Source organism: Homo sapiens, chromosome 4, assembly GCF_000001405.40.
Source record: "Homo sapiens chromosome 4, GRCh38.p14 Primary Assembly".
NCBI lineage: Eukaryota > Metazoa > Chordata > Mammalia > Primates > Hominidae > Homo > Homo sapiens.
Genome location: NC_000004.12, coordinates 100,421,922 through 100,438,342, shown reverse-complemented (window position 1 = coordinate 100,438,342; position 16,421 = coordinate 100,421,922). Strand labels below are relative to the sequence as shown.

Here is a 16,421-nt window from a genome sequence, read left to right as displayed (position 1 = left end):
TGACTTACCATGGGGTTACATTCTGATAAACCCATCATACGTTGAAAATGTTGTATGTCAAAAATGCACTCAATACCCTGATAAACTCATATTAAAGCTGAAAAATTGTTGAGTCAAACCATCACAAGTCCAGATGCTCCTCAGCTTACAATGGGGTTATGTCTTAAACCCCATTGTAAAGTTAAAACTTGTGAGTTGAGGACCATCTGTCCTTAGGAATAAATTTAACCGAGAAAGTGAAACATTTGTATACTGAAAGAGAAAACATTGATAAAAGAATTTGAAGGAGACAGAAATAAATGGAAAGATACACTGTATTTATGAATCAGAAAAATTTATATTGTTAAAATGTCAAAAAGCAATATTCTATATATTCAACACAATCCTTGTTAAAATCCCAAGGTCATTCTTCACAGAAATAAAAAAACATTCCAAAAATATGTATGAAAACATGAATGACCCCAAATAGCCAAAACAATTCTGAAAATAAAAAAAAAGTTGGAGGCATCACATTTCCTGAGTTAAAATTATATTACAAATCTATAATAAAACAATATGGTGCTGGCATAAAAACAGACACATAGACCAGTGAAACAGAATAAAGATCCCGGAAATAAATCTAAATGTGTACTGTCAACAAATTCTTTACAAAGACACCAACAGCACACAATGGGTATATGATAGTCTTTTCACTAAATGGTGCTGCAAAAACTGGATTTCTACACGTAAAAGAATGAAATTGGACCCTATCTTAAACGATGCACAAAAATCAACTGAAAATGGATGAAAGACTGAAAGGTAAGACCAGAAACTATAAAACTCCTAGAAGACAACATAGGGGAAAATCTGCTGGGCATTGGCCTCAGAAATGATTTTTTTTTTATATCAGACCAAAAGCTCAGGCCACAAAATCAAAAATAAATAAATGGGACTACATCAAACTAAAAAGCTTCTGCACAGCAAAGGAAATAATCAGCAAAATAAAACAGCATGCTACAAATTGGGGAAAAATATTTGCAAACCATATACCTGATAAGGGGTTAAGATGCAAATGTAGAAAGACAAATAGCATGATTAAAAAATGGGCAAAATACCCTGAATAGACATTTTGTGAAAGAAGACATGAAAATTGCCAACATGTGCATGCAAATGTGGTCAACATCATTAATCATCAGGGAAATATAAATCAAAACTACTATGTGATACTACCTCACACCCATTAGGGTGTATATTATCAAAAAGTCAAAAGATAACACATTTTGGCAAGGGTATGAAGACAAGGGAATTCTTTTTTTCCCCCAACTTTCATTTTAAGTTCCAGAGTGTATGTGCAGGATGTGCAGATGTGCAGGTTTGTTACACAGATAAACGTGTGCCGTGATGGTTTGCTGCATAGAGCATCCCATCACCTAGATATTAAGCCCAGCATCCATTCACTACTCCTAATGCTCTCTCTTCCCCCGCACACCTCTCTCACCACTGATAGGCCCCAGTGTGTGTTGTCCCCCGCCCCATGTGTCCATGTGTTCTTATGGCTCAGCTCCGACTTGTAAGTGAGAACATACAGTGTTTGGTTTTCTGTTTCTGCATTCGTTTGCTGAGGATAATGGCTTCCAGCTCCATCCATGTCCAGACAAAGGACATGATCTCATTACTTTTTATGGCTACACAGTATACCATGGTGTATATATACCAGATTTTGTTTATCCAGTCTATCACTGATGGACGTTTGGGTTGATTCCATATATTTGCTATTGTGAACAGTGCTGCAATGAACATATGCATGCATATAACTTTATGATAGGATGGTTTATATTCCTTTGGGTATATATCCAATAATGGGATTGCTGGGCCAAATGGTATTTCTGCCTCTAGGTCTTTGAGGAATTGCTACACTGTCTTCCACAATGGTTGAACTAATTTACACTCCTACCAAGAATGTAAAAGCATTCCTTTTTCTCTGCAATCTCATCAGCATTTGTTGTTTCTTAACTTTTTAACAATCGTGATTCTGACTGGCATGAGATGGTATCTCATTGTAGTTTTGATTTGCATTTCTCTAATGATCAATGATGAGCTTTTTTTCATGTTTGTTGACTGCATGAATGTCTTCTTTTGAGAAGCATCTGTTCCTGTCATTTGCCCACTTCTTAAAATGTTTTTTTTTTCTTGTTTAAGTTCCTTGTAGGGTCTGGATATTACACTTTTATCATATGGATAGATTGCAAAAATTTTTTCCTATTCTGTATTTTGTCTGTTCACTCTGATGATAGTTCCTTTTGCTGTGCAGAAGCTCTTTAGTTTAATTAGACCCCAATTGTCAATTTTTGCTTTTGTTGCAATTGCTTTTGTCATTTTCATCATGAAATCTTTGCCTGTGCCTGTGTCCTGAATGGTATTGCCTAGATTTTCTTCTAGGGTTTTTATAGTTTTGAGTTTTACATTTATGTCTTTAATCCATCTTGAGTTAATTTTTGTATAAGGTATAAGGAAGGGGTCCAGTTTCAATTATCTGCATATGGCTAGCCAGCTCTCCCAGCATCATTTACTAAATAGAAAATCCTTTCCCCATTGCTTGTTTTTGTCAGGGTTGTTGAAGATCAGATGGTTTTAGGTGTGTGGTCTTATTTCTGAGTTCTCTATTCTGTTCCATTGGTCTATGTGCATGTTTTTGTACCAGTACCATGCTGCTTTGGTTACTGTAGCCTTGTAATATAGTTTGAAGTCAGGTAGGGTGATGCCTCCAGCTTTGTTCTTTTTTGCTGAGGATTGCCTTGGATATTCAGGCTCTTTTTGGTTCCATATGAATTTTAAAATAGTTTTTTTCCTAATTCTATGAAGAATGTCAATAGTAGTTTAATGGGAATAGCACTGAATCTATAAATTACTTTGGGCAGTATGGCCATTTTCACAATATTGATTCTTCCTATCCATGAGCATGGAATGTTTTTCCATTTGTTTGTGTCTTCTCTGATTTCCTTGAGCAGTGGTTTGTGGTTCTCCTCAAAAAGGTCCTTTGCTTCCCTTGTTAGTTTTATTCCTAGGTATTTTATTCTCTTTGTAGCAATTATGAATGTGAGTTTATTCATGATTTGGCTCTATGCTTGCATGCTGTTGGTGTATAGGAATGCTAGTGATTTTTGCACATTGATTTTATATCCCCAGGCTTTGCTGAAGTTGCTTATCAGCTTAAGAAGCTTTTGCACTGAGACAATGGAGTTTTCTAGGTACAGGATCATGTCATCTGCAAACAAAGATAATATGACTTCCTCTCTTTCTATTTGAATATCTTTATTTCTTTCTCTTGCCTAATTGCCCTGGCCAGAACTTCCAATACTATGTTGAATAGGAGTGGTAAAAGAGGGGATCCTTGTCTTGTGCTGGTTTTCAAGGGGAATGCTTCCAGGTTTTGCCCATTCAGTATGATATTGGCTGTGGGTTTGTCATATATGGCTCTTATTATTTAGAGGTATGTTCCTTCAATACCCAGTTTATTTAGAGTTTTTAACATAAAGGGATTTTGAATTTTATTGAAGGCCTTTTCTGCATCTATTGAGACAATCGTGTGGTTTTTGGCTTTAGTTCTGTTTACGTGATGAATTACATTTATTGATTTGCTTATGTTGAACCAACCTTGCATCCTGGTGATGAAGCCAACTTGATCATGGTGGATAAGCTTTTTGATGTGCTGCTGGATTCGGTTTGCCAGTATTTTATTGAGGATTTTTGCATTGATGTTCATCAGAGATATTGGCCCGAGGTTTTATATTTTTGTTGTATCTCTGCCAGGTTTTGGTATCAGGATGATGCTGGCCTCATAAAATGAGTTAGGGAGGAGTTCCTCCTTTTCAATTATTTAAAATAGTTTCAGTAGAAATGGTGTTAGCTCTTCTTTGTACCTCTGGTAGAATTCAACTGTAAATCCATCCAGTCCCAGGCTTTTTTTTTTTTTTTTTTTTGCTTGGTAGGCTATTTATTACTGCCTCAATTTCAGAACTCATTTTTGGTCTATTCAGGGATTCAGTTTTTTCCTGGTTCAGTCTTTGGAGGGTGTATGAGTCCAGGAATTTATACATTTCTTCTAGCTTATGTGCACAGAGGTGTTTATAGTAGTCTCTGATGGTTGTTTGTATTTCTGTGGGGTCAGTGGTGATATCCCCCTTATCATTTCTGATTTTGTCTATTTGATACTTCTTTCCTTTCTTCTTTATTAGTCTAGATAGTAGTCTCTTTTATTAATTTTTTCAAAAAGCCAACTCCTGGATTCATTGATTTATTGAAGGTTTTTTCGTTCTGTATCTCCTTCAGTTCCACTCTGATCTTGGTTATTTCTTGTCTTCTGCCAGCTTTGGGGTTTGTTTGCTTTTGGTTCTCTAGTTCTTTTAATTGTGATGTTAGGTTGTTGATTCAAGATGTTTCCAGCTTTTATCAGCCAGGGGAACTCTTGTACACTGTTGATGGAAACGCATACTGGTGCAGCCATTATAGAAAATAGTATGGAGATTTCGGCTGGGTGCAGTGGCTCACACCTGTAATCCCAGCACTTTGGGAGGCTGGGGCAGGAGGATCACCTGAGGTCAGGAGTTTGAGACCAGCCTGGCCAACATGGTGAAACCCCGTCCCTACTAAAAATACAAAAATTGGCTAGGTGTGGTGGCACTTGACTGTAATCCTAGCTACTGAAGAGGCTGAGGCAGGAGAATCATTTGAACCTGGAAGGTAGAGGTTGCAGTGGGCCGAAATGGCACCACTGCACTCCAGCCTGGATGACAGAGTGAGACTGTCAAATAAAAAAAAAAGGAAAAAAAATAAAATAGTATGGAGATTTTGAAAGAAATTAAAAATAGAACTACCAAGTGATCCATCAATCAATCCCTTTTTCTGGGCATATACCCAGAGGATATGAAATTACCACCACATAAGGATATGTGGACTCCCATTTTCATGACAGCCAAGACGTAGAAACTAAAAGTGTCTGTTAATGGATGAATGGATAAAGAATAATATTCCATATTCAGTGAAATATTATTTAGTCCTAAAAAATAATGAGACTTGCCATTTGCCAAAACATGGATGAACATGGAGGACATTATGCTAAGTGAAATAAGCTAGACACAGAAATAATATTGCATGATCTCACTTACATGTGAAATCTAAAAGAAAAATTCAGATATACAGAGATAGAGAACAAAGCAGTGGTTACCAGGGACAGAGAGGAAATGGGGAGATGTAGATTAGAGGATACAAAGTAGCAGCTATGTGGGATAAAGTCTAGGAGTCTATTGTACAACATAAGGACATTGTTAACACAATTGTACTGTATTTGGGATTCATGCTAAATGAGTAGATTTCCATGCTCTTGCCACAGAAACAACTAAAGTGTATAATTATATAAGATGATTGATATGTTCATTTCCTTCACTATAGTAACTTTTACTATCTAAATATATCTCATAATATCATGTTGTATACCTTAAATATATACAATAAAATTTATTTTTAAAAATTTATTTAAGTTTTAAAATGAGAGATCAAAGAAAGATAATTATAGTTATGTGGAAATGATCAATTGATCAATCAAGATCTAAAGACATCTCCACTCATTTCATTCAATAGCACAACAGTAGTATGTGATAGAAAGCTGTGTTTAATGATGCTTAACATGAGAAAATTATGCTCAATATTTAAAGTATTGGGGAAAATCAAACTGCAACTGCCCACTGTAACATATCTGGTAAGGCCCCAAACTTGGTATGAACCTATGCTAACTATACAGAATGGTATATTTAATCAACCACCATTAACCAAGGCTTTTAATAAATATTCATCTTGTTCCTATTATGTGTACACTAGCTAAAAGAGGAATGATACATGGAACCTGCCATTAGCAGTTACTAAGGACACAAGTCAATATTATACATAACTATAATAATTCTAGTAGTCATGTAGGTATAAAGTAATATGTCATGGGTGAACTTCAGATAATCTTATGTAAGATCAGAGGATAGAGTAATTTTTATTTTTCGTTTCTTTCCTTTGGCTGTGGTTGAGGTATCCATTGGGTGAAAAAAAAAGGCTGGTTTTAAAAGATGAGAAAGGGTTCATGAAAGAATTGACCCCTTGGCAGCCAGATTATTCTACCTACTCATTTTTCTAGCTCTAAGTTCAGACCTAATGAGGAGATTAAAAGACCCTCTGAAAAGTGATGAAGGGCTGTTTATTCCCTAAAGATAAATGCAAACATTGCATAGCCATTACAACAATTTTAAGCAATCATGGAATTCATTTTTCTTTAGCCTTATCATTTTCACACAGACAGGCAGAGCTAATAACTTGTCCTTGAAAATGAACCTTTTGATTTCATTGATAAGAGATCTCAGCCCTGAGCAAAATGGACCATTGTGCCTTACCGAATTGAGAAAGGAATAAGCCATTAACCCTTAATTTTCTGGGGAAAACAACTGTATTAGGGTTCTCCAGACAAACAGAACCAATAGGTTGTGCATTGACAGCGAGAGCGAGAGACAGAGAGAGAGAGAGAGAGAAATAGATAGAGGGATGGGGGAGAGAGAGAGCAAGTGAGAGAGAGAGAGCAGAAAGGGAGAGAAAGAGAGAGAGAGATGTATTGTAAGAATTGGCTCATGTGATAATAGAGGCTGAGAGGTCTAAAGACTCAGGCCAGCTGATGGAGTAATGCCAGCCTGAGTCCAAAGGCCTGAGAACCAGGGTCACTGATGGCATAAGTTCCAGTCTAAAAGTTGGCAGCCTCAAGCTCCAAGAAGAGCCAGTGTTTCAGTTTGCCTCCTAACTCAGGGAAAGACCAATGTCTCAGTTCAAGAGAGTCAGGCAGAAGAAGTTCCCTCTTTGTTCTACCCAGGGTTTCAACTGGTTGGACGAGAGGCAACCAGTCAGGGAGGGCAATCTGCTTTGCTCAGTATACTGATTCAAATGTTAGCCTTATCCAAAAGCACCCTAACAGACACACTCACAACAATGCTTGACCAAACATCTGGGCACCTGTGGCCCATTCAATATGACACATAAAATTAATCATCACAATATTCCTACAGCAACTAGCGTAACTTGAAAGATCTCATCATACATATCTTTTTTACTTTCCTTAACTGTGTTTCAGAGTCTCAGTTGCATTGTGGTCATTACATCTGATAGAAAAACAAAGCCAGAACAGGTATTAGAAGTCCCACCAAATCTGACCAAAGGCCTTTGGAAAAGAGGATGCTCCATCCTGTCTGAGCATATTCACTGTGTTTGACACTCTTATTTTTGGGCATTGGCTGCTGACCCTCTAGGAACTTATATAAAGTGAAACATGAACCATTCTATAGGGGGTAGTTTATTTAAGTTTTCTAACTTTGAATGACAGAATCCTGCTATTGTCGTTTAGTTAGGATCCACTCAAGCTAGAAATATACCTCTAGCAGAGTAATATCTAGATTTTTTTAACATAGGATTTTAGGATGTTTAGAAAATTAATTGAGAATAAAAGAATTCAATTATGGAATAAGAAATATATCAACGTATATGTGATCGTGTCTGGTACAAACTTCTCCTTAAGAAATTGTACAGATTCTGGGTATGGCTAAGTGGTTTCTTATCTAGTTCAGGGATCTACCGAATCTCAAAGTAGTGCTCTGCACTGTTCTTGCACCACCCTAGTCTGCACTGAAAAGTCATAAAAACTCACAGTCTTCACTGGTGAGCTGCCCAGCAATCACTTTAGGAAGCAACACATTTCCTGGTATTGCTAAATGGGTATGGTTCTCCAATGAACTCTACGACACGCTTTATTTACTATATTAGGAATAATTCTCCCTGTCTCCTTGTTTCTATCTGCATGGTCTGGTTTGACCTGTTGAAGGAAAGTGTTTAGCTTGTTTTGATAAGAAAAAATGCCTTTTTGATTGAGGCCTAAATTGAAAATAGATTATATTTTATGTAACAAAAATAAGAGTCATGTCCTTATAACTCATTCCTACTGAAATGCAGCAGATTGGGCAGCATAATTTTGGGGTTGATACCACAGACTCTAGAGCGTGCATTCAAATCCTGGCTCTGCCACCTACTTACTGTGGGGCCCTGGGCAAATGAATCTCTCAAGGCATCAGTTTCTACTTTGTAAAATGCAAATACTAATAATACAATAATTAAGTGTGTTAATAGTTGTAAGACACTTAGAACAATGTCTGTCACCTAGTCTCTTTTAAGGGTTTGAAAATAAAATCCTTTTTAATGTTTTCATGTCTATATTCATGATGCAGGAAGAGGTGAGAATATCTCAAAACTTTCAGAATGCTAAGAATAGATTTTATTGATTCCATTGATAATGATGTCATAAGTAACTAAGATAAACATTTAAAATCTATTGATTACATGGCATATTAGAAAGAAAACAGAAAGGGTTTTGAGTCATATTTGGCTTATGGTTTAGCCTTGCACTTACTGTTAAATATATTACCTTATCTCTCTGAGCCACAGTATCTCTCATCTTTAAAACACAGGATTAAAAATATTTGCTTAAGAATAAAATAAATTAGCACATATGGAATTAATTAGCACAGTGCCTCATTCACTCTTATCATATATAATTTTGTAAAAACTATTTTAATCAAAAAGAAAAATATATCCTTTTTCTACAACAAATATTTCTACAGAATTAAAGTACGTTAATCTCCATTCAGTTATTCCATTATTTCTGGGTTAGAAGATGTTATTACCTCAGGTTACTAACATTGACGGCCCAAAGCAAAGCAAAGGAAATTTAAGGTAAGGCTTTTTTTGCATTGCTATAAGAGTGCAACCAGGTCAGAAAGGTAAGGTCAGATGAGAGCGGGAATTAATTTGCATCATCCGAAGGCAGAAAATTCCTCCTGTGATATTTTACCTATGAAGTAGACAGGAGGCACCATTGTGTGTGAAAATACGTACTAGCCACAGATTGAAAAGAATCTAAAACCCTAAAGTTAGAGGAGACTCCAGGATTATATCAACATGTTCCCTTTCCAAAACACAGAATTGCATCAACTATAGTCATAGCACTTATTGTCTATACCACTCATGTTTCACTTATATAATAGATTATTTTCCTCTCCAATAATAACAGCCCAGAGTAGACCTCATGTTCTCCTTTCCCTGAGTGTCAGGGTGCTCAGAGTCCATTCTTGTGGCCAACACCAACGATTATGTTTATGTCCGATATTAACTCTTAGAAGGGGCCTGTTTACTTCTTCCATTTGCATTTGTTCTGATTTCTTATTTCAATTTCATTCATCTTATGGTCTGTATAATTGCTTAAGCTCCTCAAGTTCTTTTTATTAAGAGTTGTAAGTAAAATTTAATAAACAATAACATAGTCTCTGCTATTTTGATCCTTGCTCTTTGCCATGCTGTTTTACTTATTCTTTATTGCATGTTTCACATCTATCAATTTTGGGATATGCTTCTCACCTTCCCTACTAAAATGTGAGCTCCGTAAACGCAACAGCTACCTCTCATACTCTGTTGTATTTTCTTCAACATTTAGTGGTGGACCTAGAGTAGGTCTCTATTTTTGTTGTTGTCGAATGAATGAGAAAAAATAATAATATCACGATTTTAAACATGTGCCAATCCCGATGTTAAGATTAAAAGGTAATCTCATAAATTCACTTCATCTTTCACAGTAGTCAATTCTGCTGCCAAGAAGTTTGTTTATACATTCAGTGATTAGTGATGGGCCCTACTTCCAGACACTGTTATAACATTTGGGAAATATGAGTGAGCACAATAAAGATCCTTGCCCTAGAGGTTCTTATATTCTAGCAGGGAAAGTAAACTATACCCAATAAAATAATAACTAACTAAATTATATAGTAAGTTAAAAGGCATAAGTGCTCTGAGAAAGAGAAAATGTGCAGCAATAGAGGAGGAAGGGATCACAAGCACTGGAGAGGTGGGGAAGGGTTTGCAAGATTGAAAAAAGTGGCCAAGGTAAGTCTCCCTGAAAAGAGTTGAGTAAATACAAGAAGGAAGTGAGTCACCCAATATGTGGAGGAAGAACATCCAGGCAGAGCTAGAACTTGAGGAGAGGCCTGGCATGTTTAAAGGACAGCATTAAGCAAGTGGGCGGAGTTGAGGCAGGGGATTTGCCAGGCAGATTACCTAGGGTTTTGTGGGCTATTGCATGGACTTCGGCTTTTTCTCTAAGTGGAATGGTGAATCACTGAGGGATTTGAGCAGCAGTGTTACATTAGCTGACCCATGTTTTATAACTCAGCTGAAGGAAGAAAGGATATAGGAGAGAGAAGATGGTGGCTTTGACCAGGGTGATCACAGAGTAGATGGCACAAAATCTCCAAAATCTGGATTTAGTTCGGAGATGAAGCCAATAACTATTCCTGATGATTGCGTGTGGAATAGAATAGAAAGAGATGAGCCAAAAATAGGTCTTTGGCCTGAGCAATTGGAAGGAATGTCTGCTCCAAGCAAGGATAGGAAGGCTTCAGATAGAGTGGAAGTTAAAATGTGGACATGTTGGGTTTAAAATGTCTATTACTTGCTAAGTAAGTATCCGGATTTATAAATCCAGAGCTTAGGAAAAGGTCTGGGATGGAAGTATAAGTTGAGGAATCAGTGACATTGGTGCATTTAAACCTTGAAATTGAATGAAATCTCCAAATAAATGAGGGTCATTGGAGATGAGGACCAAGGACTAAACCCTAGGGGACACTCCAAGATTATAATTTAGAAAGAAAAGAGGGGACAGATGTGGTGGCTCATGCCTATAATCCCAGCTCTTTGAGAGGCTGAGGTGGGAAGATCACTTGAGGTCAGGAGTTCGAGACAAGCCTCAGAAACATAGCAAGGTCTATCTCTACAAAAAAAAAAAAAAAGAGAGAGAGAGAAAATTAGCTGGGTGTGGTGGTGCACACCTGTGGCCCTATCTACTTAGGAGGCTGAAGCAGGAGGATCACTTGAGCCCAGTAAATGAAGGCTGCAGGGAACTGTGACTGCCCCACTGCAATTCAGCCTGGAAGACAGAGCAAGATCCTGTTCTCAATATAAAAAGAAATATTAAAAAGATTTTAAAAAAAGAAATAAGAGGAGGAACCAACCAAGGAGACGAAAAAGAAAAAATATCAATAGTCTGCTCTATTCTATTGGTAGCCACATAAAGAAAACGTGATAAGAAGAAGAGAAAGATTTGTGTCAAAGGCTGAAAAGTTATTTTTTTAAATGGGACATGAATAATCTATCAAATTACAATTAGAGACCAGTTCCAAAGTGCTGGGATTACAGGCGTGAGCCACCATGCCCTGCCCAAGATTTCTTTTAACTAAAAAAAAAATTGGGGAGGGAAACTCACAGAATAAAGAAGGATAGCATTGTAGTAATTTCAGGGATTTTGTAAACCCATAGATAGTCCCTTTAGAGCTTCACTCTGAGAATAACTCAAAATCACCACACACTCAAATTCTTAGGAGAGAACTTTAGTCATACAGTGACTCTGAAGTTGGATTAAAAAGGGGCACCTCATGACCACATGAAGTGGGGAAGGGGTGATTTTCCATAGGAAGAGTTAGGCTTCCCAAAAAAAATGGAAAATAAAAGGTTTAAACAAACAGATATTTCCCTTATGAACCAGTGCCCAAGTCTTCCAAGTCCAGTTTAAAATTCCTGAGGCTTCATTTCTACTCCCAATAAGAAGTGGCCTTTTAAATACTTGCCAGGGAGACTGCTTTAATCTGAATGTTCAGAGAAGCAGAGTTCAAGATTCAGTTAAAAGTACAAGGATTTTATTAGGGGAAAATGCCTATGAGAGAAAAAATGCCTGTGAGGGGACAAGGAAAGTCTAGAAGAGCCACCAGACTGAAATGCACATCTGACATGGTGATAGGGAGAGAGAACGGGGATGCTGAGCAGAAGCATCTAGGCTGCCATGCATTCTAGGGGAGGTTCAGCAAGACCATCAGGGAATCCTCCAGTCCACATTCCTCCCAGGACAAGCCGGCCTTAATATTCCTGGCAGGTCCACTCATTGGCTGGGAGCAGCCTTAGAGAGACATGGCACCAGCACAAACAGAGAGATGGGTTTCAGAGGACACGTGGGTAAATTTGGTCACTTATGCTTTCTATAGTTGGAGTTCTGTGAGGAGCATTATTATAGCAATCACAGGTGCCTTGGGACATTGATAGGTCTTCTGTCTTTAAAACTCTCAATGATTTATTAAGTAATTGGTCTACAGTGAGGTCTCCAAATATGTACCATTGTCAGATGCTGATGGGGTAAATTTGGGCATACATTATTACAACAGACTTGACTCTGAGGGTCTCTGTCTCATCAGCTTGCTCCAAGTTCTGACCTGAAGTTTCCAGGCTGGACTTAAATCCTGAAACAACCTAGCCACAAATTCAATAATCATAACAATCACCAAAAGTCAGGGTCCAAGAACAAATCTATGTCATCTAAGAGTACCATATTCTACTCCAGTTTCTCCAGTTCCTCTACTTCTTGACTAGAGCAAAGAAGCATGTGAAAACACAGAAGTGGCTGAAGTTCATATATTTTTCATTCTTAGAATTTTTGAGAAAATTAGACAAACTGACCTTGGTTGGGAGGTTCAACTCTCTAGGGGAATAATCATAATATAAGAATAGAACATTATTATTATATATAATATATACATATTAATATCACATTCCCTTCTAAACAGTTTAAATTTATTTTTACTCATATAATTTTCACAATACCATGATGTAGAACTATTATAATCTCCATGTATATATGTGGAAACTCAGGCACATAGAGGTTAAGCAACTTGCCCAAGATTCCACAGGGGTAAGTGCTAGAGTCAGATTTGTACCCAGCTATCCTGTCTTCAGAATCATGCTCTTAGCCACTCTGCTATAGCTCTCCTATACTTCCTCTGGCAATGCCACTTTGTTAGTAATGTAGGATAATACAGTCTCAACAAAAACTGTGTAGATCATCAGGCTCTGAGCATGTCATGGATTCCGCATCTTAGTCACAGAAAGAATAACATTAGGCTCATGTTTTATGGATTCAGCCAAGTACCATAATTTCAGCAATATGATCATGCTAAAACACAGAGCTTCTCAAACTGTAGGTTAATTCCCATTATTGGATCATGAGCAGTAATTGTGTGTGTGTGTGTGTGTGTGTGTGTGTGTGTGTGCTGGATTCAGAAATAATTTCTTAACTGAAGGTTGCAGTTTAAAGAAAAACAAAACAAATTTTTAAAGTATTTGTTCAAGCAGCCACCAAATCTTTCCACTATGAAGTCTTAACATTTTGGCCTATCCATGGGTCATTAGCAATAACCATTGGCACTGGGCAATCAACACGTTTTAAGCAGGGAAGTTGGGAGTTTGTTCTGACCCAGACACATTACAATCAGTCCTGAGTCTGCCATTTAGCCTGTCTACAGGAAGGTAATATGGTAGGACAATTAACCCTTGAGAAATCCCAAAAGGATTAACATCATTGGTTATTTAATCAGCCACCTTCTTTTCCACCAAGAAAACTGAAAGAGCATTCATCCTCACTAAACTACTTGACACTGGAAAAGGCAGCTGAAAGTACCAAGGTTTCAGCTAGTTCCCACTCTTTCATTTAATATTCCTTTTTCTGCCTGCTTAGTGCACTAGCCTGACATTTTTCTTTGTTCTTATGGGCATATATCTAGCTTCCACCCACAGATCTCTTGCATGGCAAGAACGGTACAGACTCTGAACGTTATTCTTCACCCACAGATGTCAAAAATGCATGAGCATGCAGTGCGTGCTGGGATGTGGGTGGTGAAGAAGGAATGAGCCAAGGCAGTCATAGAAATATCAATTTCTTTGGTGCAATTATACATGGCCTCAATACGCCCAAGGAGCCATAATCATAAGAAGTGCCTCTTAGTGTCAGCTACATTTGACTGCATACCCCCTGTACCCAGAGCTCCATGTTGGGTGTGTGGACAAGTATGGCCCTCACACTCTAGGAACTTGCAATTCAGTGAAGAGGCAAGGCAAACAGGCATGATTTAAATAGAGCACTTCATACTGCACGAGGAAGAGAATACATTTTCAAAAAGTTTTCTAAGTACAAATTGTACTTTATTCCAAATTCACAAGAATAAATGTTTTCAACTTATACAATACTTAATTATTTATATTTCCTTTAAACTTATTGACAGCTATGGATTTTGAATAGTAGATTTTTACTTATAATTTTTGCTTCAGTCCTTCTGATTGAAGATGGCAAATGTTAACTAAACAAACAAATAACGATAACAATAAATTTTTAATTTATATTTTCCTTGGAAAAAAAAGAGCACGGATGCTAGTGAAAAAAAACAGTCAAGTAGCATTACTCTAGAAAAGGCACATAATAAAACCAGCTGCTGAACTTTAGGGATGAAAATGAAGGAGTCTTCTTTGATTTTTCCTCAATTCTTCTAACCAAAGCCTCAACTGCAATTTTTTTCTCTTCAATCACTGATAAATACATAAAATCTGACGTCCTGTGCAGTTATGATCATTTTAACTATGTGTGATAGAAAAAAAACACTATCACCCAAAGTTATAATATCTGAAATTTGAAAAATGCTTTTGCATAGATTTACATCCCACAAGAATCTTATGCAGTAGGTTATACAGGCTGTAATCTACGCTAAAAAACTTACTGAAGTTTTCTTGGCGAGTTCCTGAAGATGTAAAACTGATACTCAGGCTTTGTGATTCTAAATTTAATTATCTTTCCAGGAGGAATGGATGAACTTATGGTTTAGTGTTATGATTGCATTTATCCTACTATTTGACAATAAATAGTTTTCACAGATCTTCAGAAAAGCAAACTGTTTGAATCTGCAAAGAAATCCCATATGAAGGCTTAATACCATAGCCTGATTCTGCATTTGTAATTTTCATACAGGTAGTGTTCTACAACCAGATGCATCACCTTCTAAAACTGGTACATTAACCTCAATACCAGTTACAATTCCAGAAAACACCTCACAGTCTCAAGGTATGATATCTGTGTGCCTGAGTGGAAATCTGCTCTACCTGACCCTTTCTTGACTGAAACCCTAACAATCTTGACTCACAAAACAGAGCTCCTTCAGAATGAGACTGAATCTTTTGCACTTGCAGCATCATACCTACAAATCATGGCTGTTTCCTTAAATGAGGGTGGAGGGAGGACTGCAAGAATTGGCACACATTAACCAAAAGTGACTTGTTTTTTTCTTTCTTAAAGTAATAGGCACTGAGGGTGGAAAAAATGCAAGCACTTCAGCAACCAGCCGGTCTTATTCCAGTGAGTAACAGCAATGCCTTCATTCATGGCAGTAGATATGCAGAATGTTTGAATGTGACCAGTAAAGGAGAGGAATCAGATTATGGGCAGCCTTTTCTCAACTTTACTGAGCCTGCAATCCCATTACAATCCCATCTAACTGCTGCCTGCTCTGAAAATTTCCCACAAGTGAGTCTTAATGACAAAAAAAAAAAAAAAGAAAAGAAAGAAAGAAAGAAAGAAAACAGAAGAGGAAAAAAAGCACAGTTTGGCAATTTTTTTCTTAGTTTAGTGTTTAACAATTACGATCAAGGGCCAAGGATGACTCGATGGGACTAGTTTCAGATAAGTCAAAATGCACAGGTAGAGGTCCCCATAAAAGTGAATTATTTCCAAATTATCAGGTTGTATACCCTGAATATATTTTATTTTTGTCAAGTAAATAATTAAAATAATAAATAAATTATATCAAAAAATGAATTGTTTGCCTTCATAGAACATTAAAAACGGCCTTTAAGAAATGTTCCATTTTAACTAAAACCTATATATGTCATATAACATTTATGTGTGTGCTAAGACTGAATACAGAATATTAAATAACTTCCTTAGTAATTAAGAATAAAAAGACAATATTCAAAACTGTTATTATAAAAGGCTCTATTAAGTTTAGTTAAACCCATTCCATTAAATAAGTCATCATAGAAATTACTGACCTGCTGATTCACGGCATCTTCATTTGGGAGGCAATAATGATTTCACCTAAGGTCTATTATGAAATCAGCAGAACTTACTTAAAACAAATATTTAACTCTGACAATGGAAGTGTAAACCATCCTACAGATGAATTGGAGAGTAAGTCTCACCCCTGATAAATATATAAGGAGTACATATGAAAGCAAATATGCTAAACTAATAGTCATCTTAATTTCCTTTAGTTGTGTGTCTATGACAGCTCTCTTGCTTTTATCACTGTACTTTTAACCTTGGAAATAACCATCAGAAAAGAAGGAAAGAAGGAAGGAAGGAAGGAAGGAAGGCAGGCAATACTCTTCCTCTTAATACAAATATGAAAAACTCACCCTAAGTTACTGCAGCAACATCACTCCCCCAAACAGACACA

At 36.9% G+C, this 16,421-nt stretch overlaps 1 protein-coding gene and 1 long non-coding RNA gene across 4 annotated transcripts in view; one reads left to right on the top strand and one right to left on the bottom strand.

The window, feature by feature from the left end:
• EMCN (endomucin) overlaps window positions 1-16,421 on the top strand; it is a 122,682-nt gene that overhangs the window by 79,680 nt on the left and 26,581 nt on the right. For all 3 annotated transcript variants that reach the window (NM_001159694.2, NM_016242.4, XM_011532024.4), the window contains 2 exons: window positions 14,939-15,031; window positions 15,263-15,322. In NM_001159694.2, coding sequence (NP_001153166.1) covers window positions 14,939-15,031; window positions 15,263-15,322 — 153 coding nt within the window. The remainder of the gene's footprint in view (window positions 1-14,938; window positions 15,032-15,262; window positions 15,323-16,421) is intronic.
• The window catches only part of LOC124900740 (uncharacterized), an 89,972-nt gene that overhangs the window by 73,000 nt on the left and 551 nt on the right, over window positions 1-16,421 (bottom strand). The window lies entirely within an intron of this gene.